The 22,717-nt window shown below is 50.1% G+C and overlaps 1 protein-coding gene and 1 long non-coding RNA gene across 13 annotated transcripts, besides 10 other annotated features; one reads left to right on the top strand and one right to left on the bottom strand.

Annotated features, from left to right (window-relative positions):
- The first annotated feature begins 5,662 nt into the window (after positions 1–5,662).
- C10orf55 (chromosome 10 putative open reading frame 55) lies at positions 5,663–18,471 on the top strand. 2 transcript variants are annotated; one of them, NR_160937.1, is made up of 6 exons: positions 5,663–5,807; positions 11,799–11,921; positions 12,819–12,869; positions 15,365–15,475; positions 16,156–16,240; positions 16,345–18,471. It is a non-coding gene; the product is annotated as a chromosome 10 putative open reading frame 55 (long non-coding RNA). The 2 variants fall into 2 exon arrangements; NR_160938.1 differs by lacking the exon at positions 12,819–12,869 and having other exon boundaries at positions 15,365–15,397.
- Positions 6,973–7,619: an enhancer, noted in NCBI's record as "H3K4me1 hESC enhancer chr10:75680579-75681225 (GRCh37/hg19 assembly coordinates)". NCBI's record gives its function as "activates a minimal SCP1, AML or CMV promoter by ChIP-STARR-seq in primed H9 embryonic stem cells {active_cell/tissue: H9 hESC(primed)}" and the evidence as "EXISTENCE:reporter gene assay evidence [ECO:0000049][PMID:30033119]".
- Positions 7,620–8,268: an enhancer, noted in NCBI's record as "H3K4me1 hESC enhancer chr10:75679930-75680578 (GRCh37/hg19 assembly coordinates)". NCBI's record gives its function as "activates a minimal SCP1, AML or CMV promoter by ChIP-STARR-seq in primed H9 embryonic stem cells {active_cell/tissue: H9 hESC(primed)}" and the evidence as "EXISTENCE:reporter gene assay evidence [ECO:0000049][PMID:30033119]".
- Positions 10,946–19,608, bottom strand: PLAU (plasminogen activator, urokinase). 11 transcript variants are annotated; one of them, NM_001441154.1, is made up of 12 exons: positions 19,373–19,608; positions 19,146–19,287; positions 16,828–16,915; positions 16,372–16,399; positions 16,118–16,225; positions 15,342–15,516; positions 15,059–15,150; positions 14,682–14,901; positions 14,312–14,460; positions 13,524–13,664; positions 13,041–13,189; positions 10,946–12,051 (listed from the first exon to the last, which is right to left on the bottom strand). In NM_001441154.1, exons 3-12 carry the CDS (start codon positions 16,882–16,884, stop codon positions 11,875–11,877), a joined length of 1,296 nt encoding a protein of 431 aa, NP_001428083.1. In that variant the 5' UTR covers positions 16,885–16,915; positions 19,146–19,287; positions 19,373–19,608; the 3' UTR covers positions 10,946–11,874. The 11 variants fall into 11 exon arrangements, with proteins under 11 accessions (NP_001428083.1, NP_001428086.1, NP_001428084.1 ...); NM_001441157.1 differs by lacking the exons at positions 19,146–19,287; positions 19,373–19,608 and adding an exon at positions 17,438–17,830; NM_001441155.1 differs by lacking the exons at positions 19,146–19,287; positions 19,373–19,608 and adding an exon at positions 17,615–17,830.
- Positions 14,046–14,599: an enhancer, noted in NCBI's record as "H3K4me1 hESC enhancer chr10:75673599-75674152 (GRCh37/hg19 assembly coordinates)". NCBI's record gives its function as "activates a minimal SCP1, AML or CMV promoter by ChIP-STARR-seq in naive H9 embryonic stem cells {active_cell/tissue: H9 hESC(naive)}" and the evidence as "EXISTENCE:reporter gene assay evidence [ECO:0000049][PMID:30033119]".
- Positions 14,046–15,409: a biological region, named in NCBI's record as "BRD4-independent group 4 enhancer GRCh37_chr10:75672789-75673988".
- Positions 14,210–15,409: an enhancer, noted in NCBI's record as "BRD4-independent group 4 enhancer chr10:75672789-75673988 (GRCh37/hg19 assembly coordinates)". NCBI's record gives its function as "activates an origin of replication core promoter dependent on BRD2, P300/CBP, MED14 and CDK7 cofactors, and independent of BRD4, by STARR-seq in HCT116 cells {active_cell/tissue: HCT116}" and the evidence as "EXISTENCE:reporter gene assay evidence [ECO:0000049][PMID:35650434]".
- Positions 16,762–17,361: a silencer, noted in NCBI's record as "silent region_2495". NCBI's record gives its function as "represses an Ori minimal core promoter by ATAC-STARR-seq in GM12878 lymphoblastoid cells {active_cell/tissue: GM12878}" and the evidence as "EXISTENCE:reporter gene assay evidence [ECO:0000049][PMID:35858748]".
- Positions 18,327–19,277: an enhancer, noted in NCBI's record as "H3K27ac-H3K4me1 hESC enhancer chr10:75668921-75669871 (GRCh37/hg19 assembly coordinates)". NCBI's record gives its function as "activates a minimal SCP1, AML or CMV promoter by ChIP-STARR-seq in naive H9 embryonic stem cells {active_cell/tissue: H9 hESC(naive)}" and the evidence as "EXISTENCE:reporter gene assay evidence [ECO:0000049][PMID:30033119]".
- Positions 18,327–19,832: a biological region, named in NCBI's record as "CDK7 strongly-dependent group 2 enhancer GRCh37_chr10:75668366-75669565".
- Positions 18,633–19,832: an enhancer, noted in NCBI's record as "CDK7 strongly-dependent group 2 enhancer chr10:75668366-75669565 (GRCh37/hg19 assembly coordinates)". NCBI's record gives its function as "activates an origin of replication core promoter dependent on BRD2, BRD4, P300/CBP, MED14 and CDK7 cofactors, with strong dependence on CDK7, by STARR-seq in HCT116 cells {active_cell/tissue: HCT116}" and the evidence as "EXISTENCE:reporter gene assay evidence [ECO:0000049][PMID:35650434]".
- Positions 19,028–19,077: an enhancer, noted in NCBI's record as "active region_3582". NCBI's record gives its function as "activates an Ori minimal core promoter by ATAC-STARR-seq in GM12878 lymphoblastoid cells {active_cell/tissue: GM12878}" and the evidence as "EXISTENCE:reporter gene assay evidence [ECO:0000049][PMID:35858748]".

Genomic DNA, 22,717 nt, shown 5'->3' with positions numbered 1-22,717 from the left:
GATCAATGATCCTCAATCTTTGATGAATATAAGAATCATCTAGGGAGCTTACTAAAAATACAGTTGCCCAGACACCAGTCCAGTTTGTTTAACCAGATCCTACATAACCAGCTGCCCCAGGTGTTAGGATGCATCCTGAAGTTTGAGAATCAACACCTAGAAGAGTGGTCCTCAAACCTGAGCAGGCAATGTAATCCCCTGGGGAGCTTGTTAAAACACAGATTGCTAGGCCCCACCTCTAGAATTTCTGATTCAGTCTATCTGGGGTGGGGCCTGAGAATTTGCAACTCCTAACAAGTGCCAGGTAATACAGAATTGCTAATTTGGGGACCCTAATTGCTTTAGATTGATGTTCTAGGCCAGGTGCGGTGGCTCACACCTATAATCCCAGCACTTTGGGAGGCCAAGGTGGGCAGATCACTTGAGGTCAGGAGTTCGAGACCAGCCTGGCCAACATGGCAAAACCCCCGTCTGTACTAAAAATACAAAAATTTAGCTGGGCATGGTGGTGCACACCTGTAATCCCAGCTACTTGGGCGGCTAAGGCAGAAGAATCGCTTGAACTAGGAGGCAGAGGTTGCAGCGAACCAAGATCGTGCCACTGCACTCCAGCCTGGGTGACAGAGCAAGACTCTGTCTCAAAAAAACAAAGATTGATGTTCTAAGCAAAGTGTTTATCCCACTCTGTCTCCAGTTCATCATTTCTCCTCATTCCCTCAGCCAGCACAGAATTCAGTTGAGGAGACAGAAAGGGCAGAGGGAAGCACTCAAAGAGGTCTTGACTTGAAGGGACTTTCAGAGAAGGACTTCTGGTGAGCTCACCACTAGGGAAACTGGCAAAATTCTAGTAACTCTCTACAGCCAAAGATGGTGGCCAAATTCCAGTGGGAAATAGAAGTAACCTGATCAATAGCTGTTAACTTCACAGATACGTCCAGTTCCAATGGGACTCAAGAGCTTAGAGCTTCCCTGGCAGAATCTCTCAGCCTGTGGTGGTGAGGAGTGTGTAGGTATAGTGAGAAATCAGAGAAAGTTTGAGGCTGGGGGGCCGGGCACGGTGGCTTATGCCTGTAATCCCAGCACTTTGGGAGGCCGAGGCGGGCAGAACACGAGATCAGGAGTTTGAGACCAGCCTGGCCAATATGGTGAAACCCCGTCTCTACTAAAAATACAAAAATTGTCTGGGCGTGGTGGCGTGCGCCTGTAGTCCCAGCTACTCGGGAGGCTGAGGCAGAAGAATCGCTTGAACCCGGGAGGCGGAGGTTGCGGTGAGCCGAGATCATGCCACTGCACTCTAGCCTGGGTGACACAGCAAGACTCCATCTCAAAAAAGAAAAGAAAAGGAAAAGGGGCTGACACTTGTTACATTCGTTCATTCATTCATTCATTTAGAAATAAGGTCTCACTATGTTGCCCAGGCTGGTCTTGAACTCCTGGCCTCTAGCAATCCTCACCCCTGAGCCTCCCAAGTAGGTGGGATTACAGGCATGCACCACCATGGCTGGCTTCACCAAGACAATTAAATGGAAAAACCAAGCTGGAGCTAGAGAGTCCTCCCTCCAATGGCATTAACCCCAGCTTGTACAATACTCTGGAGAGAGAGCTAAAAAGACAGTAGGGTGAGGATGGGAAGAGCCAGGTGAGGGAGAAAGTCATTTTCTTCCCTTTATATGAAAAGAGAATGAGAAATTAAGGGCAACTGGAGAACCACCAAAAAGAGGGAAGGAGAGACTGGGCTAGGAAGCCCACCAGCTGGAGTCCTTACAAAATCTGCTCCATCTCCACAACCTCGTGCCAGAACTTGGTGATGTGCTAAGGGCATGTGATCTGTTGAAACACCAGAAGTCACATTTTTAGGAAGTCAGAAGGCAGACGGCTAGATCCAGCATCTGCTGATTTCCTTATACATGCCACCGACCTATCCACTAACTCATTGCCAGTGCATCACATGACCAGCAGGTTCAGGAGAAATTCCAGGTGTTAGAACCACAGTCACAGGGCTGAACAGGCCTGGGGTATTTCAGAAACAAGCATCACCCTATGCAGGCTTGGATATCAGCACTGCGTGGTGATTATGGTGATAGGGAAGTTCTCCAGTTGGGTGGACAGAGTTAAGGAGGTAATTAGCAGAACTAGCTGCCCTGAGGTATTGATCCCCAAGGTTCTACAAGTGGTAACTCTAGCTTGGTCAGCTACCTACTATAAATCACTTACAGCCTCAGTTTCTCACCTGTAAAATTATGCTGTTGCCTTATCTACCCGAAGGCAGGAGACTAAACCAAGTGATATCTCCTTTTCTTCCCGCCCCCAGCCAGGCACCAAGTCTATTCTATCCCCACCAATCTCCCATATTTGTATCCTCTGCTCACATCCCATTGCCATAGCCCTGGCTCAGACACTTTTCAGCTCCTACCTCGCTGATTGCAATAGTCTCCAAACTGGTTTTCCCTGCTGGTAGTCTCACCCAGGCCCAAGAATCTTCCTTTGATCAATTTTTCACACTGCTCCAAAATCTTTAACAATTCCACATCACAAGAAAGTTCAAAGTCCTTCATGTGTCAGGCAGAGTCCTCTAGGCCCGTAGGTTCCAGCTCTTGCCAATCCCTCCAGTCAAATCACTTCAATGCCAGCCCCTACCCCAGCGGCTGGAACCACCTGCAGTCCCTCCGGTGCCCTGGGCTTCCTCCCTCCTCTTCACGTTTGCATGTGCTGTTTCCTCTGCTCAGAGAAGCATTTCTTCCTCCTGTATTTGCCCTTCAAGATTCTCCCCAAGGTCACCTCCTCCACCTTGCTGTCTTAGCCATCCCTGCCCATCTTGTAAATCTTCCTCACCCTGTACTCTATTCATTTGCAATGTGTCTCTTCCCCAACTTGACCCTTATCTCACTGGGGTTGAGACTGGGGCTCTCATCTTTATACCCAATACACAGCACAATGCCAGGCCCATGGCCGACTCCCAATAAGTGTTTGCTATATTAATGAGTGAAGGATGAATCAGTGAATAAATGAAACTTTTGGGTTCTCTTCTAGCCCCTAATCCTCACCAACCTGTGCTAAGAATGCCCTTCTTAGGCCAGCCATGGTGGCTTATGCCTATAATCTCAGCACACTGGAAGGCCAAGGCAGGAGGATCACTTGAGCCCAGGAGTTTGAGACCAGCCAGCCTGGGCAACATGGTAAGACCCTGTCTCTACAAAAGAATTAAAAAAAAAAATTAGCCAGGTGTGGTGGCACATACCTGTGGTTCCAGTTACTTGGAAGGCTGAGGCAGGAGGATCATTTAAACCCAGGAGGTCAAGGCTGCAGTGAACTAGGATTGTGCCACTGCACTCCAGCCTGGGCAACAGAGCAAGACCCTGCTTCAAAAAAGAAAAAAAGAGTGCTCTTCTTTTAGTGGTCCTTTGGTCCTTTTTTTTTTTTTTTTTCTGAGACTGAGTTTTGCTCTTGTCGCCCAGGCTGTAGTGCAGTGGCACCAAACTGGGAAGCTATTGTAGGGTAGACTGGGCTCAACTAATGGTGATGGTGGGGAGGGAGAGAAATGGACGACTTCAAGAGATATCAGTCAAATCCCCAGGATTTGGTGATGGAGGGGATGAAGGAAACCAGGAGAGAAGCATCAGGATGGCCCCAGGTTTCTGGCTTTCATAATTGAATGGATGTGGTGCTATCATCTGAGACAGAAAGTGATGGGAGATGTCTCCACACTGGGGCATGAAGACTCGGCCAGTTTGGGGCAGGTTGACTTTGAGGTCCCCTGTGAGTGACAACCAAAAGGGGTGTCAAGTAGACAACAGAAAATAAGAGTCTGGAGTGCAGAAGAGAGGTCTGGCTAGAGATCAGCTTTGTAAGCCATCTGTTTATTGGTGGTCATTTAAGCCTGGGTGCTAACAAGATCCTAAGGGAGAAAGCTTAGGGTGGGAATAGGAAGTTTAAGATCAGGCTTTAGGAATCCTAACATTTAAGACCGAGTAAAAGAGGTTGAGATTACAAAGGAACCCAAGAAGCCAGAGATGTTAACAATGGCTGTGGAATGCTATGAAAGTATTTTACATTTGTAGCTACTTTTACAATTGAATAAAAATGTTTAGTTTAAAAAGCCAATTTTTTTATGGCTTCTAGAACTTAATTCACTTTCTGGATTTTGAAAAATAGTGCCTGAGGGCAAGAGGTGATAGTCAAAATATTTAACTATCAAGATACCCCAGTAGGACACTTTCGCCTGAGCCAGCTGGAGGAGGGAGGATCTCAGAGGCCTTTGCTGTGCCACAGGCATTAACCCTGTGGTTGCTGGATCATGAAGAAGTGGAGAGAGGCTGATGGCAGGGGCCACGCGGAGAGGATCTCAGGACAGCATCTGTTTAGTCACTGAGCAGAACCAGTGCCTGCTGCTGAGAATCAGTCCTGCAGCAGGGTCATCACCAGCTGGATCCCACCAGATCCTTCCCCACCATCTCCACCTACTCATTGCCCCCCAGAGTTCTCCACCACAATGGACTATTCCTCATTTCCTTAGAACACCTCACCTTTTCATGCCTCCATGAACTTCCCTACGCCTACAATGCCTTTCTTCTAGTTTGGCAAATTTCTGTGTGTATTTGAATGTCCAGGTAAAATATCACCTCTTCTGTAAAGTCGTCATTGACTTCACCAGGCAGAATCAATTGCTTCTTCATTATTTTTCCATGCATTTTATGCAGACTTAGTATAGCACTTTGCAAAGTGGTGAGCTCCTTGAGGACTAGGACTGCCTCATTTGTATCTAAAATAATGTCCTGTGTATGGGTACTTTAAAAAAATGACAAAGGGCCGGGCGCAGTGGCTCATGCCTGTAATCCCAGCACTTTGGGAGGCCGAAGCAGGTGGATCATGAGGTCAGGAATTTAAGATCGGCCTGGCCAAGACGGTGAAACCTCGTCTCTACTAAAAATAGAAAAAAATTAGTGGGGCATGGTGGCAGGCACCTGTAATCCCAGCTACTCGGGAGGCTGAGGCAGAGAATTGCTTGAACCTGGGAGGCAGAGATTGCAGTAAGCCGAGATTGCGCCACTGCACTCCAGCCTGGGCGACAGAGCGAGATTCCATCTCAAAAAAAAAAAGAAAGAAAGAAAGAAATGACAAAGATTGTTGAATGAATCTCAATGTGACTGAAACCTCAAAAAGAGACCTAGAACATCCTTTTTTTTTTTTTTTTTTTTTTGAGATGGGGCCTCTTTATGTTGCCCAGGCTGTTCTGGAACTCCTGAACTCAAGGGATCCTCCCACTTTGGTATCCCAAAGTGCTGGAATTTACAGATGTGAGCCACTGCACCTCGCCTAGACCATCTTTTCCCTCAATTTGTTATTAAAACTCAGCAACCTCACTGACACATGCTATGCCATGGATAAAACTTGAAAACATCATGTTAAGAGTGAAAGAGGCCAGTCACAAAGAACCACATATTATAGGATTCTATTGATATGAAATGCCCAGAATTGGCAAACCCACAGAGAGGACAGAAAGTAGTAAATTAGTGATTGCCTAGGGCTGAGGGGGTTGGGGAGAAAAACGGAGTGATTGTGAGTGGGTACAGGATTTCTTTGTGAGGTGATGAAGTGTTCTAAAATTGATTGTGATGTCTCACAATTCTGTGAATCTACTAAAAACCATTGCATTGTACACTTCAAATGGTGCCAGACGTGGTGGTATGAGCCTGTAATTCCAGCCACTCAGGAGGCTGAGGTGGGAGGATCACTCTGGCCTAGGAGTTTGAGATCAGCCTGGGTGACAGAGCAAGACCCTGTCTCTAGAAAAGAGAAAGAATAAATGGGTAAGTTGTATGATATATGAATTATATCTCAATAAAACTGATTTTTTTTCTTTAGAGACAGGGTCTTGCTCTGTCACCCAGGCTGGAGTGCAGTAGTGCAATCATAGCTCACTGCAGCCTCGAGCTCCTGGGCTCAAGCAATCCTCCCGTCTAGGCCTCCCACAGTATTAGGATTACAGGTGTGAGCCATTGCACCTAGCCCAGAATTGATTTTTAAAAAACACCTCAGCAACTCCTCTTACTTCATCTAATTCAAAGGGAGGGCTTAAATGTTTCCTTCTTGGAAGGAAGGTGGACCCAATGGGAGTGAGTATGGAGGGGTATAGGCAGGGGTGCTGCTGTGGTCAGCTTGGGAAAGATAGGGCATACGTGGAAAGCAGGCTGAGTGCTGTTAATATAATGGGCTGAGAATACTTCAGAAAGAGGGGTTCTGGTGAAAACGGAAACCACTTCAATGAAACCAGATTGCAGCAGAAAGGCTGAGGTTACTGTGAGAACAGTGAAGTTTTACTTTGAAACCAATGGCTGAGTGTGGTCTCCTCATCTGGCCTGGGAATCTTCTAGGAGGAAAGAATTGTTATCTAGGAGAGGATTAAAATTCTGATAGATGAGGCTGGGCGCAGTGGCTCACGCCTGTAATCCCAGCACTTTGGGAGGCCGAGGTGGGTGAACCACGAGGTCAGGAGTTTGAGACCAGCCTGGCCAACATGGTGAAACCCCCGTCTCTACTAAAAATACAAAAATTAGCCGGGTGTGGTGGTGCACGCCTGTAATCCCAGCTACTCAGGAGGCTGAGGCAGGATAATAGCTTGAACCTGGGAAGCAGAGGTTGCAGTGAGCCGAGATGGGCCACTGCACTCCAACCTGGGCGACAGAGCAAGACTGTGTATGGAAAAAAAAAAAAAAATTCTGGGCTGGGCGGGTGGCTTACAACTGTAATCCCAGCACTTTGGGAGCCCAAAGCGGGTGGATCACAAGGTCAAGAGACCGAGACCATCCTGGCCAACATGGTGAAACCCCGTCTCTACTAAAAATACAAAAATTAGCCGGGCGTGGTGGCATGTGCCTGTAATCTCAGCTACTCAGGAGGCTGAGGCAGGAGGATCACTTGAACCCGGGAGGCGGAGGTTGCAGTGAGCCAGGATTACGCCACTGCACTCCAGCCTGGCAACAGAGTGAGACTCCGTCTCAAAAAAAAAAAAAAAATTCTGATAGCTGTTGCCTAGAAACCCAGCAACCATAAAGTAGAAAGCTTGAAAGGGGGGCTGCTCTCCTTTTGCCCTAGTTGGACTCTCCTGAGAGGTGATAAATCCTAGTACCGCGCATGAGGACTCTGGAGATGGCTGCCTGGGTTCGAACCCTGACTCTTTGCATTTGGAGCTGCATTGCCTCGTGCAAGTCACTCAATCTGTCTGTGCCTCCATTTTCTCTACTGTTAAATGGGGCTAGTGATACTACCTTCCTCATAGGATTCTTGGGAGGATTAACTCAGACAACACATGAATAATTTAGCACAGTGTTGGTCTGGCATGGTGGCTCATGCTTGTAATCCCAGCACTTTGGGAGGCTGAGGCGGGTTGATCACTTGAGGTTAGGAGTTTGAGACCAACCCGGCCAACATGGTGAAACCCCATCTCTATTGAAAGTACAAAAAATTAGCCAGGCGTAGTGGCGGGCGCCTGTAATCTCAGCTACTCGGGAGGCTGAGGCAGGAGAACTGCTTGAACCCGGGAGGCAAAGGTTGCACAGTGAGCTGAGATTGAGCCACTACACTCCAAACTGGGGGACAGAGCAAGACTCCATCTCAAACAAAAAAAAAAAAGGCCGGGCACGGTGGCTCACGCCTGTAATCCCAACATTCTGGGAGGCCGAGGCAGGCGGATCACGAAGTCAGGAAATCAAGACCATCCTGGCCAACATGGTGAAACCCCATCTCTACTAAAAACAATACAAAAAGTAGCCGGGCGTGGTGGTGGGCGCCTGTAATCCCAGCTACTCGGGAGGCTGAGGCAGGAGAATCGCTTGAACCTGGGAGGCGGAGGTTGCAGTGAGCCGAGATCACACCACTGCACTCCAGCCTGGGCGACAGAGCGATACTCCATCTCAAAAAAAAAAAAAACAAAAGCAAAAACAGAAAAAGCACAGTGCTTGATCGTGGAGGCACTAATAGGAGGCAGTCTCTGGAGTGAGAATCTGGAACTGTGAAACTGGTTGCTGGAGAAGCGGCTGATGCCTGCTAGCCTGGGGTGAGATCTAATATTAGGCAAAGAGACAGCAGCTGGCTGGGGGTCAGGGTGTTGGCTGGGAAATGGCCTGAAAATTGTTAACAGCCTCCTGGCTTAACCCTGCCAGTAGGGCTCATACTTCCTGTTTTCAGTGTCTCTGAGCCCTGATGCTGGAGCTGCTCAAGTTTGAACAAGATCTTTCTTGGCCCCTGAGGGGAAGGCAGAAACTGAACAGCCACTCGGCTTGGGCAGCTTCCTAGCAGGTTTCCACTCCCGCAAAATAGTGCAGTTCTGAGGTGGGAGAGGGCAGAGGGTTCCCATCTGATCTGATGCTACAATAATTTACTTAGCTTTGTAATAATAACCACCGTTTTTATGCTTTTATTAGGTGCCAGTATTATGCTAAAGGACTTATGAACTCATGAATCCTTTCTGTTGTTGTTGTTGTTGTTGAGACGAAGTCTTGCTCTCTGTTGCCCAGGATAGAGTGCAGTGGTGTGATCTCGGCTCACTGCAAATTCCACCTCCCAGTTTCAAGCAATTCTCGTGCCTCAGACTCCCGAGTAGCTGGGATTACAGGCATATGCCACCACGCCTGGCTAATTTTTGTATTTTTTTTTTTTTAGTGGAGACAGGGTTTCACCTTGTTGGTCAGGCTGGTCTCGAATTCCTGGCCTCAGGTGATCCGCCCACCTTGGCCTCCCGAAGCACTGGGATTACAGGCTGAGCCACTGTGTCTGGCCTTCATGAATCCTTATAACAACCCAGGGAGGTAGATTGTATCATCTCTTTTGTACAGATGAGGAAACTGAGGTGCAGAGAGGCTAATAACCTTTCTCAAGTCACACAGCTGGTGTTAGATTCTAGTTCAGGCCACCGGACTCGAAAATCCATGCTCTAAACCACTGCATCAACCTGTGTAAAACAGCACACTAGATGATGGGGATCAAAAGCCGAATACTAATCCCAGTACTTTGGGAGACCAAGGGAGGCAGATCACCTGAGGTCGGGAGTTCGAGACCAGCCTGGCCAACAGGGTGAAACCCCATCTCTACCAAAAACACAAAAATGAGCCGGGTAGTGGTAGTGCATGCTTGTAATCCCAGCTACTTGGGAGGCTGAGGCAGGAGAATCGCTTGAACCTGGGAGGCAGAAGCTGCAGTGAGCTAAGATTGCGCCACTGCACTCCAGCCTGGGTGACAGAGTGAGACCCTGCCTCAAAAAAAAGAAAAAGCCAAATACTTGGAGTTCTTGCCCTCTAGGGAAGCACGGTCCAGAAAGCCTTTAACCAGGAAATCCAGGAGACCTTGTGCCACCAAACCCCACTCAGAAAACTGGCTGTTCATGCAGAGAACTCATGCTGACCATATCTTGAATTTTTCTGGGCACTTCATATATTCTGACCAATTGTCCCCAAAGGCTGTCAATCAGTGGTGCATGTTAGTAACACCGAGGGAGCTTTTCTAAAACCACGAGACCTGGAGCCAGCCCTGACCTGAATCACAATCTCTACAGGTGGAGTGTAGGTGTGCATATTTTAAAAGGTCCTCAGATGACTCGATTAAGAAACACTGCCCCAACCCATTAACACAGCTTGGCAATTCTAATTTTTGATACCCAATTATCTCCCAACCTGCCTTCTACACCCCAGCTTTTCAGAACTTGATGTTTTGTTCAAAATATATAGTCACCCCCATTAGGACATCATCCAGCTTTGAGATTCTGGGCCCCCTAATCATAGGCATAGCAATGGCTGGTCACAAGCTCTGTTAACACACTGAGAAAATTCCAGCATCAGTCCCACACACAGATGATGGGAAATTATGTTTTTTGTTTCCTGAATGCCACAGAGTCAAGCTGGCATTCTGGATAAGCAATTTTCTTTCTTTATTTATTTTTTTATTTATTTGAGGCGAAGTCTTCCCTCTGTCGCCCAGGCTGGAGTGCAGTGGTGCGATCTCGGCTCACTGCAACCTCTGCCTCCCGGGTTCAAATGATTCTCCTGCCTCAGCCTCCCGAGTAGCTGGGATTACAGGCACCCACCCCCACACCCGGCTAATTTTTTTGTATTTTTAGTAGAGATGGGGTTTCACTATGTTGGTCAGGCTGGTCTCAAACTCCTGACCTCAGGTGATCCACACACCTCGGCTTCCCAAAGTGCTGGATTACAGGCGTGAGCCACTGAGCCTGGCCAGCAATTTTCACTTACAGGTCTTCTTCTTCTTTTTTTTTTTTTTTTTTTTTTGAGACAGGGTCTTGCTCTGTCACCTAGGCTGGAGTGCAGTGGCACAATCAGCTGACTGTAAACTTGAACTCCTTGGCTTAGGATCCTCCTGCCTCAGCCTCCCAAGTAGCTAGGACTACAGACATGTGCTACCACACCTGGCTAATTTTTTTATTTTTTGCAGAGACAGGGTCTCACTAAGTTTCCCAGGCTGGTCTCAAACTCCTGGGCTCAAGCGATTCTCCCACCTCAGCCTCTCAAAATGTTAGGATTACAGGCATGAGCCACTACACCTGGCCACAGGTGTTCTTCTTGGTTGAGGTCAGCTCAAGGATTGTTGGGGGCAGAGTGAAGAGACTGTTGTGGAGTTAACCCTAAAGAAGACCACCATGTACAGCTGTACAAGATGTGCACTGCACAAAGGCATCAGGTTAAGGAGGCAATTGGGAGCTGACACTAAGCCTGTACACTACTTACACAGCCATGGGATTGTGGTTTGGGGAAACTTTGTATACATTAAGTGCTGTGGTGGCCCTGCCCTACAGCTCTCCTAACCTCTACCTCCCAAAGCTCCATTAAGTCCAGAGATGCAGTCCCATAAGAAACTCTAGGGTGCAGTCCACCTTTGTTATTTTCTCCTTTTTATGTACTCCAACTCCTTCCCATACAAGCACCAGGGAGATTTGTCATCAGAAAAATCACATTTTATTGATCACTTTTATTTAAAATTACAAAAATATAAATAAAAATAGTGAAATATAAATATTCAGTGTACAGGAGTGGTCCTCACCCCACCCAGTGAGGATTGGATGAACTAGGCTAAAAGGAAGGGATAACTGGCCAAGAAAGGGACATCTATGTGAAAGTGAAACTGAGACAGTGCTGGTCACAGGTCATGCTGCAGAATAATACATTCCCAGGCACTGTCACGTGGGGGACCCAAGAGGCCCCAGGAGTGACCTATAACCTCTCCAGAAAGACCACTCTGTGTGGCATCACAGTCCACACAGTTTAAGGAAATATTTAGACTTAACAATCAGACACCAGCTCTTACTCACACTTACACTCACAGCCCACACACAAGTGTGCAAACATACACACACATATATATTTCCTGATACATTCATGGAATATCAGAGCCCTGCCCTGAAGTCGTTAGTGTCTCTGCTCCCCAAACCGCTGCTCCCACATTGGCTAAGCTCCCTCAAGAGACCTCAGCTGTTACACTTCCTAATTGGGAAATTATTCATTTCTCAACCATGGGCCTCACAAATGCCCACCGTCGGGGGAGCTGGCTCTCCCTTCACCCATGCACAGGAGATGCCCTGCCCTTTTTAACTCCTGCAGGCTTCAGTCCAGAAAAAGACAAGTTGCTGGTCAGTAACATGTTGAGTCAGGACCACCCCTCCATCCTGGCCAGAGGGGTCTGGGCAGCCAGCACCCAGGCCTATGCCTGAGGGTAAAGCTATTGTCGTTCGCCCTGGTGGGTGGCACAGGCAAATCCATCTGTGCAGAGCCTATCTTCCCAGTCTCTTCTTACAGCTGATGGAGATGACTCTACTGCAAAAATGACAACCAGCAAGAAAGCGGGTGGTGCCCGTTTCCTCCCTGGGGACCCTCAGAGGGCCAGGCCATTCTCTTCCTTGGTGTGACTGCGGATCCAGGGTAAGAAGTGTGAGACTCTCGTGTAGACGCCTGGCTTGTCCTTCAGGGCACATCCACGGCCCCAGCTCACAATTCCAGTCAAAGTCATGCGGCCTTGGAGGGAACAGACGAGGGGTCCCCCTGAGTCTCCCTGTGACGCCAAAGATACAAAAGATGAGCCCTAGAGAAGTGAGGAGGGGATTTCTGATCCCATCACCCAACCATACCAGAGAGAGGGAAGAGTTTCCCAGTCAAAGTCCTTAGCGACTTCCCATTTTCTTTCTTTTTTTCGGGGGGAGGACAGAATCTCGCTCTGTCGCCCAGGCTGGCGTGCAATGACGTGATCTCAGCTCACTGCAAACTTGCCTCCTGTGCTCAAGCGATTCCCATGTCTCAGCCTCCTGATTAGCTGGGATTACAGGCAGGCACCACCACACCTGGCTAATTTTTTTTTGCATTTTTAGTAGACACAGGGTTTCACCATGTTGGCCAGGCCGGTCTCAAACTCCTGGCCTCAAGTGATCCATCCACCTCGGCCTCCCAAAGTGCTGGGATTACAGGCATGAGCCACTGTGCCTGACGCAGCCCCATTTTCTACCACATCAAGTTTAAAATCCCCTGCTTGGCTTTAAAAGCCCTGTCATCTGCCACTATTCCATCCACACTCCCAGACCCTAGTTCTCCTCCCCACCCGGAATATGCCAGCCTCCTTCTCAGTTTTGTATCTTTCAACTGAAACACCTTCCTTTCTTCCCTCTGCCTCTTCAAATGCCTATCAAGTCACATTTCCTTTAAAGCCTCCCCTCCCTGACCCTCAGGTTGGCACTCACCTCCCTCTCCTGAACACCTGATCATTTATAGTTCACAACACACCCTGGGCACTGAGTTACATTGTCTTTTACTGTTTCCTCTTTCTAGGATCTCGTGCCCCCAGTCTGAAGTGACTAGCGCAGAGCTGGGATTTTTTTGGTAATGTCTGGCAAACACATAAGGACTGGTTTAAACCCTCAAAGACCTGAGCTCCTGATTCTGGCTACTTAGGGCTTTGGCTAGAGAGAGACACCCTTAAGCTGGCTGGAACAAGCCCAGGAGCTCTGGGGAGATATGGAAGAGGTGGAGAGAGATGCTTGGAACACTCACCTGGCAGGAATCTGTTTTCCACTGTGGGTCAGCAGCACACAGCATTTTGGTGGTGACTTCAGAGCCGTAGTAGTGGGGCTGCTGACACTCCCGGTGGGAAATCAGCTTCACAACAGTCATTTTCAGCTGCTCCGGATAGAGATAGTCGGCTAGGTGGAGAAAACAGGGAGGCGTTTGCATCAAGATTTATCTGTCCACTGGGAGTCTGCCAGAGAGGGGAACCATAAAGTATCTCTACCAGGGAAGGCCCTTATTCTCTTCCATGCAAATCTGAGCCTTTACTCCACCTATAGCCCCTACCATCTATTTACCTTTGCAGCCCATCGCTCCCTAAACAACACTCTTCATCCATCCCTGGACCCATCTGCCACCGCCTCAGTGCTCCCACCTCTAACTCTGCAGTCTTCCCTTGATCACGCTGGGCTCATTTTCAGGTCAAAACACTCCTCAGGACCTTCTAAGTCAGTCGCAATTGTCACTTACTAGAATTCTCTTTTCCAAAGCCAGTGATCTCACAGCTTGTGCCAAACTGGGGATCGTTATACATCGAGGGCAGGCAGATGGTCTGTATAGTCCGGGATGGCTGCGCACACCTGCCCTCCTTGGAACGGATCTTCAGCAAGGCTGGGGGAGGACAGAGGGTCAGAGGAGAAAGATCACTACTGGTTAGGCGGTCCCCATCTGTCCCCTCCAAGTGCCGAGGAAGTAGCTATGCCTATCCCTAGGTCAGTCATCCAGGGAGGTCTGCTGGTCGCTTATCACCTGGAAACCTCCCCTGCCCCATGCCCCAAGGGCTTTGTTCCAGGTGTTGAAAAAGGCTTGGATGGCCAGAGCCACTGCATACAGCTGTACAGGTCGTTTCTGCAAAAACTCCCAGCTGAGGTAGTTAGGCTGGAATCCATCCCAAGGCTCCATTCTCCAAGTTCTATATCCTAGCACAGACAGAGGCTGCATCCCACAAAGGAAGGTGTGTCTTTTTCTAATTCATATAAACAGGGCCTTCCCAGCCCAAGCCATATACCCACAGGGCTGTTTCCACTCGCAAGAGGCTACTTGTTGGGGAAATTCAGGGTCTCTCCAGAGGAGCACCAGGCCCCTCAGACTTCATGGAACTCTTCCCTGCCACTCCCTTTGTCATGTATATCGAGGCTTCAAGGTCCCTCGCCCCACCCCTGCCCCACCGGGCAGCTTCAACCTCAGCTCCAGTCTCTCCCTGGGTCCCACTCTCCCCAAGCCATTATGGCCACAGTAGTCGCGGGGTTCCCCCTCACCAATGTCGTTGTGGTGAGCAAGCGTGTCAGCGCTGTAGTCCTTGTGTAGGATGAGGTTTTCCACCTCAAACTTCATCTCCCCTTGCGTGTTGGAGTTAAGCCTTGAGCGACCCAGGTAGACGATGTAGTCCTCCTTCTTTGGGTAATCACTGTGGGAGAAGATACCCATCAAACAGCTTAGTCCCATGAAATCTGCCACTTCTTCCTTCCCTCCCTAGAGGCCTCAAAGCACGACTTGTCCCCAAGGCCATGGGCTGCATGGACAGGGGCAGATGAGGGAGAAATGAGGCGGAACACTTTGCTGGGAAGGAGAAAGGGATGTGCTTGGGGTGGGGCAGAAGAGTCGAAGAGGAGAAACCCAGGGCCGTACATGAAGCAGTGTGTGGCGCTGATCACCCAGCAAGGGCTGATGAGGCTGCCTCCACACACGTAGGTGACAGAGCCCCCCCGGTGCCTCCTGTAGATGGCCGCAAACCAGGGCTGGTTCTCGATGGTGGTGAATTCTCCCCCAATAATCTTAAAGCGGGGCCTCAGAGTCTTTTGGCCACACTGAAATTTTAATTCTTCTGGAGGAGAGGAGGGCTTTTTTCCTGGAGGACAAACAGAGGGATGTCTTAGGGAGGCAGGTAGGAGAAAGCATCCCTCTCGGGCACCCCCCACCTCCTCAGTCCTCCTGTGATGGAATAAGGGGACATGTAAGTTTGTCCCCTTCCACCCCACTGTCATCAGCAGGTCAGTGATGCTCACCATCTGCGCAGTCATGCACCATGCACTCTTGGACAAGCAGCTTTAGGCCCACCTGCACATAGCACCAGGGTCGCCTCCGGTTGTCTGGGTTCCTGGCAACACAGAAAGATAGGGGATGTCATTCCAACCCAGAGGGCCTTCCCTGCCTCCTCCCCTCAGGGAAGACTCAACCAGAGGCCGCACTTCTCTTGTGCTATGGCCAGCCCTCTGGGAGAAGGGGATGGTAACAAGGTTTCTGGGAAGCTGTAGGGAGGGCTTTTGGTCCTTGTTGCCCCCACCTCACCTGCAGTAATTATGTTTCCCCAGGCCCAGCTGAAGAGCATCAGATCTGTGGGCATGGTACGTTTGCTGAAGGACAGTGGCAGAGTTCCAGGGCAGGCAGGGCCGGCCCATGGTGTCAGTGCTGGCCTTTCCTCGGTAAAAGTGACCATTCCCCTCATAGCAGGTTTTTGACTTATCTACAAGGGGACAGGAGGATGAGAGAATATGAGAAAGAGAAGAACATTCCAACTAACTTTTATTTTTTTTTTTTGAGATGGAGTCTTGCTCTGTCGCCCAGTTGGAGTGCAGTGGTGTGATCTCAGCTCACTGAGATCTCTGCCTCCCAGGTTCAAGCAATTCTCCTGCCTCAGCCTCCCAAGTAGCTGGGACTACAGGCATCCACTACCATGCCAGGCTGATTTTTGCATTTTTAGTAGAGGCAGGGTTACACCATGTTGTCCAGGCTGGTCTTGAACTCCTGACCTCAAATGATCCACTCACCTTGACCTCTCAAAATGCTGGGATTACAAGCGTGAGCCACCATGCCCGGCTGCCAACGGACATTTTAAAGATGTCGTTTCAGACCTGCCAGAAGACTGGACAGGGTCTCCTTCCAACCCCACCTCACATTTGTGTGGCCACTGTTTCGTGAGCGTGTGTGTGTGTTTATGCTTGTCACATAGGGATGAAGATGTCACCCACCCTACCTCCAGCTCCTAACTCCTGCCTGCTCTTGCCTCCCACCCATCCCTCCCTGTCCCCAAATTTCTCTCCCAGTTGCAGTGGAGATCCCCATACCTATTTCACAGTGCTGCCCTCCGAATTTCTTTGGGCAGTTGCACCAGTGAATGTTGGAGAAGTACTTGTTGGACACACATGTTCCTCCATTTAGACAGTCACAGTTCGCTGGAGAGAACAAAGGTGGGGTAAGCGAGGGGGAGTGGAAGTGGTAAGGGGTGGCGCAGCCCTGCAGCAGAGGGCAGGGAGGGGATGTCCCCTGAAGCCTTCCCAACTTGTCTGTGCAGCCAACTGTTGTAGGGGTGGATACTCACATGGAACTTGATGAAGTTCATTGCTGCCCTGGAAGAGATTCGGGAGGAGGCTTCATCAAAGGTCCCATGCTCCAGGGACTCCAGGGTGAGGGTAAACTGGCCCCAATCCCAAAACCCACTCTTCCCTCTCCCTCTCGCCTCACCCTGTTCGTATCTAGTTCTCAAATGGAAGACCATGGGTTTCCAGCCAGGAGAAATGGATTGACCCAAGCAAGCTTCATCTACCAGATGCCCGCAGGCTGGGGCAGTCCCGGCGGCCTCTTCCTCCCTTGCCAGCCAGTGCCAACCCCCGTGGTTCTCAAGCCTCCGCTGCCACCCTGTCCCATTTCCTGGGGAGAGTCTGGCCCTGCTGTGGATGGAATCCGGAGGACCCCAGCTCCCTGAGCAGCCCCTCCTCTCCCCTGGTGCTGATCAGAGGTCCTTGGGCAGCATCAGTCAAAGCAAGAGCGCACTCACTTTGGAGTCGCTCACGACCAGGACGCAGAGAAGCAGGCGCGCCAGCAGGGCTCTCATGGTGGCGAGGTCGGGGCGCTAGACGGCGGCTCTGCAAAGGAAGGAGAAGTCAGGGCAAGAGGCGGAGGAACGGGAAGGCAGGCCAGGCGGGCGACTGCAGCGCAGGGGAGATGCCCGCGGTGACCAGGCTCCCCAGCTGTCTCTCTCCTCTCTGGGCTCCGGACTCCGGGCAGCCTGGATCGGCACCCGCGGGGGACGCCCGGGACGGGGCGCCTTGACTCCGTGCAGCCGCCGGGGAGCCCAGGGAGCCCGGGCAGCCCAGGGCGGGGGAGGCAGACGCTCGGGAGCTGGGGCCGCCGCGCATCCGGCCCGGGGATCTCAGGACCGCGGCACTCACCGGTGGCTGCGGCAGGAGGGCGCGAGCCGGCGCTGCGGGGACAGGTGGACCCTGGCCCGGGCTCCGGGGCTGCGGTCTCCGCACTGTGCTGCGACCCGCGGCGCCTGCTCTATATCAGGGCCCGCCCCGGCGCCGCCCCTCCCTCTCCCGCCCGGCTCCCTCCCCTGTCTTGCAGCGCTCAGCGACCCGGACCCCGCGTGCTTCCGCAACGCTCACAAAGATTTGGGGGAAGCGCGATCTCCAGCGGAGGGGACCCAACAGCGTCTGGACTGAGGAATCGAGAGGCTTGTAAATTCTCCGTGCTTCCTCCCATGCACCTGGCCGGGGGCCTGCCCCAGTGCAAGGAGTCCCCGAATTGCAGAGAGGAGAGAAGGCGCACAGGAGACTCTCTACCTCGCCCAGCTCTGAAGCCTCCTGGGGTCCTCTAATCAGTTCTTCTGCAACTTCTCCCCGCTGGGCCCCAACTTGCCTAAGACTGCCTCAGACCCCCTTGCCCGCAGCTGATGGAGCTGTGAAGTCTTCATCAACGCGACAAATGTACGAGACATACTCTCCCAGAAGCACAGACAGAAAAACCCCTGCCTGTAGGGGCTCCCTCTGTGCGTCTGTTCAGTGGCAGTCCCCAGATATCACCAACACAACCAGTGGATGGAACAAAGCCGGGCTTATTGCTTTCGGCAGTAAGGGGGTTTGTTTGATGGTGCTATCAGAGGGGGAAAGGCAAGGCCAGATTACTGAAAATTTGCAGCTTGGTTTAAAGTCCGTTTTTGACAGGGCTTGATAAGGATTGGGTTAGGTGTCGTGATATGATGTTACAGGATTGTGGGAACAAAGTCCTAGGGCATAAACTGTTGGTGCTTCCTATTGAAGTGTTAACGGGTCTTTTGGGAAGTTTCCATAATGAGCAATTCATTTATTTGTGCAGGCAAGAATAAAAGTAAAGACAATGGAAACATGTAGACAGTTCTAACTGTGGAGGTTCTGGAGGGTGTGGAAGTTCTGTTCTCACCTCTGAGTAGAGGAATTGGGAGACTGGAGGACAAAATAAGAGGAAGATTTATTTTTCACTGTTTGTCCTTTTACACTCTTAACATTTTAAAAAGCACATCTCTGTATAGCCCATTCCAAAAAGATAATTATGCATTTTTTAATGCATGTGTATTTAGTGTTTTACTTCATCATAGAGCCTTGTTTATTCTATTCAGATAGAAACAATTGTTTATCAAATAAAATTGTCCTCCAGAAAAACAGACCATGTGTAAATGACTGCATCCACCCTTCCTGCCTGAGGATAAGCAGACATTTGTGTATACACACACACACACACACGCATCTCTGGGCACACTTGGAGGAACATAGCAGGGATTCTGTGATTCTGTCACCCCCATCTCTTTCCCCTAGTGTCAGGAACCAGGGCTTGGGGTCATTTTGAACCCAGTAGGACTCGCTCTCTTAGTGGGAAGGAGGAGGCTGAGTCCCAGCAATCCACTAGCGGCTTTGGGCCCTTTCCCAGCCTAGGCCTGCAGCATTTTCCTGCCTTGCAAATCTGGACCTTGGGTCTGGGTCCACCTGAGAGTGACAGAAGGAAGGCAGGGAGAGTGCCAGGAAGGTAGGAAGGAGGAAGGCTCCTTTGCTCTGCCCCAGCCGAGGGCTCAGGGTGCCAGCTGCCTGCTGGGGAAAGTACAAGTTAGCCTTTCAGCTTTTGGGAGGCAGGTGACCCACTGTCTTCTGGAGAGACTTCTGTGCTTGCTGAGCTGCCAGCCTTCCAGGGGACAGACTGAGTCAGCGATGCTATAGGCTTCAGAGCCAACCTTGCTACTTCCTCTAGAAGACTGTGGTCAGTTTTGTTTGGATTTGAGAACCCATTAATTGTAAATAAACGTGACCAGAACATAAACAGAGATGCTGCAGCCTGAGGACTTACCCCGAAACTCCCAGGTTAGTTATCAGGAAATTCCCAGGGACCGTCATGATTCATGTTGCTCCCCTAGCAGCTCTCATGACTCCAGATTACTTGGCTGGAGGCTGTCATGCTGATTGCTGAGAGCAGATGACTTCATTTCCTCCTGGACAAAGAGGTTTGGAGACCGTTATGAAGCGTGACACCCTTTCTCCCCTTCCGCCCCCTCCTCCCCCGTGCCACCTCTTCACCTAGCACTTCAACTCTTCACAGAACTTCCTTATCCATGCGCTAATCTTTAGCACTCTCTGAAATCTTTGTGCACAGTTCTTTTTTTTTTTTAAAGACAAGGTTTTGCTGGGCTTCTGGGTTCAAGGGGTCCTCCCACCTCATCCTTCCAAAGTGCTGGGATTACAGGCATGAGCCACCACGCCCAGCCATATTTTTTTTTTTTTTTTTTTGAGACGGAGTCTCGGTCTGTCACCCAGGCTGGAGTGCAGTGGCACAATCTCGGCTCACTGCAAGCTCCGCCTCCCGGGTTCACGCCATTCTCCTGCCTCAGCCTACCGACTAGCTGGGACTACAGGCGCCTGCCACCACACCCGGCTAATTTTTTGTATTTTTAGTAGAGATGGGGTTTCACCGTGTTAGCCAGGATGGTCTCGATCTCCTGACCTTGTGATCCGCCCACCTCGGCCTCCCAAAGTGCTGGGATTACAGGCGTGAGCCACCGTGCCCGGCCCCAGCCATATTTTTTATATTGTATTTCTGTCTTGTGCTTCAAGGCACATTAATGTAAACCATTTCTCTTTAAACTCATAACTGCCTTATGATATAGACTGGTATTGTTGTTCCCATTTTGCAGATATGGAAAATGAAGTGGAGAGAAGATACACAGTTGATGAGCAGCAAAGCCAGCACTAAAACCCAGCGTCTTCTGATCCTTGTTCCTATGCGCTATACCTCACTGTCTCCATAAAAGACAGAACGCTGTGAAGGGAGGGGCCAGTGAGCTAAGATGATCCAGCTCAGGGGAGCCCTCCTCCTGACTTTGGAGACCTCCTTCCAGAAAGACTGCTCGGACTATGGACTCTGAGCTCTTAAGTTGCACCCGCTGTAATACAAATTAGTTGTTTGCCTGAATTCCAAGAACTGTCTCTGTGGTCTAGGCTGTCTGAAATTTCTGTTGAGGGTAAGAGAATAAGGAACTGAATGTGTATGATTTCATTCTTTTCCTGACTCCTAGGGTGAAGCCACCAACCCCTGCCTCTGTGTCTCAAGGGTACAGAGCTCCTGAGTCAGATGTGGCAACACAGACTGCTGGAGAAGCCCTTTCCAGGAGATTCTCATAAAAGGGAAGGCAGATGCCAGATGCGCAGGGAGGGGCAGGGTATCCAAACCTGGCCCTGAGACTAAGTCCAGGAAACTCAGCCCCTAAGGACTATTTTCTGACCCAAAAGGAAGTTCCCATGGAGTCATAGGATGCAATTCTGTGTTGTATATGAAGAATGCTCAGCATGGCACTATAGAAAGACCACAGTGCCTAGCCTTCAGTCTGCTACATCAAAGTTGAATGATCTTAGGCAAGTTGCTTAACTCTTTTTTTTTTTTTTTTTTTTTTTGACGTGGAGTCTCGCTCTTGTCACCCAGGCTGGAGTGCAATGGTACAATCTTGGCTCTCTGCACCCTCCACCTTCTGGGTTCAAGCAATTCTCCTGCCTCAGCCTCCCAAGTAGCTGGGATTACAGGTGTCTGCCACCATGCCGGTCTAATTTTATATTTTTAGTAGAGATGGGGTTTCACCATGTTGTCCAGGCTGGTCTTGAACCCCTGACCTCAGGTGATCCACCTGTCCAGCCTGTGCCTCACTCTGCAGATTGGCTGAGATCATGCTTGCATGTAAAAGTATTCATTCATTCCATATTTATCATGGACCTACTGTGTGCTGGGCGCAGTTCTGGATGCTAGAGATAGGAAGAGGAACTGTGTAAACTGTAATTCCTACATCGAGTGCCTGCCTCCCCTTTTTGACTGTGGCTGGATTGACTCAGAAGACCAAGTCAGGCTGGAGTCCATTCCAGGATTCCAGGCCAATGGGGATGCTGTATCCTTGGCCAGCAGTTCCCAGCAATCAGGCAGCTGGACCCACAGCTGCATGTGCTGTTCACTCCCACATTGCCTATGCTTACTCCCTCTCCCTCTTGTCTGTGTCCCTGTGTGGCCTGAAGCGCCTCTTTCCCTCCTACACATGGGGCAGACGGACTCTTCAACAGTTCTGGGAAGGAGGTACGGAATGCTGGTCACATAGCTTCCTTGAGTCTAAGGACCCCTTCTTCCTGAGTGTCTAGTGTGAAGGGTGAAGCCAGCTGGCAACGGCAGGCACTGAAAGCCGCTTCTGGGCATGTAACATGATAGGGGGATTGCTGGAGCTGCAGGCCCCCAGCAGGCTGTGGAAGGGGTGGAGGGAGGCAGCATTCTTGCTTCCTTACTCATGGAAAGCAAAGAGCCCAGGGGCTGAACCCTGAGGTTACACTGTCGTCAGTAGCACCATGAAAGGGGAACTAAAGCTGGTCCCTCCAGCATCAGGCTATGACCCCCCTAACCTTCCTCACTCTTTTTCTGCCTTACCAGCTCTGGCCTGCTTCCTAGGCCTACCCAGGCCACTCAGCTCAGACTTCTGCATGTATGTCATGAGTCTTGGCCAAATTTTTCTTTGTCCCTCCCTGACCCAAACCCAGTTATTACCTAAGTCAGGAACTTACTGCTTTAAAGTAGTTTGCCAGGTGTGGTGGCTCACGCCTGTAATCCCAGCACTTTGGGATGCTGAGGCGGCTGGATCACTTGAGGTCAGGAGTTCGAGACTGGCCTGGCCAACATGGTGAAACCCCGTCTCTACTAAAAATACAAACATTAGCCAGTGTGGTGTCACACGCCTGTAATCCCAGCTCCTCAGGAGGCTGAGGCAGAAGACTCGCTTGAACCCGGGAGGCAGAGGGTGCAGTGAGCCGAGATCGGGCCACTGCACTCCAGCCTGGGTGACAAAGCGAGACTCCATTAAAAAAAAAAAAAAAGTAGTGTTGGTCATGGCTTACCAGACCTTCTGGATTCTGAGCCCCTCACCAGGAACCAAAGTTAGGCCCTGGTCCTAAAACTTCTGCTCAGAGTTCTGGTTACCATGTTGGGTGGCAATAGATGCTTAACTAGAAGCAAAGGGGCATGCCCAGGAACAAAGGACTGGGATGACTAACCAGCAAATGGTGGGCTTGCTGAAGACTGCCAAAAAATCAATAATATTTAGGGATATATGTTCAGCCAGAAGCTGAAATACTGAAAAAATCCTATTCAGAAGAAAACTAACATAATATTCATAACCCATATGATGTCTAATTCCACATGCTCATGGCTCTCCCAAGCTGGATTCTATGTGCTGGATTCTATATGCATCTCTGTCTTCAAAGCAAGCACTTCCCCTTCCATTACACAGAGAGGAAAATAGAGGCTAATGAAGGGAAGTGAATCATCTGAGTTCATTCACTAAAAATGATGAGATTCAGGATTCACAGATTTTGAGGAACTTCATGACACATTTCCACCCT

Source organism: Homo sapiens, chromosome 10, assembly GCF_000001405.40.
Source record: "Homo sapiens chromosome 10, GRCh38.p14 Primary Assembly".
NCBI lineage: Eukaryota > Metazoa > Chordata > Mammalia > Primates > Hominidae > Homo > Homo sapiens.
Note: the sequence above shows the minus strand (reverse complement) of the source record. Positions and strands in the feature narration are given on the sequence as shown.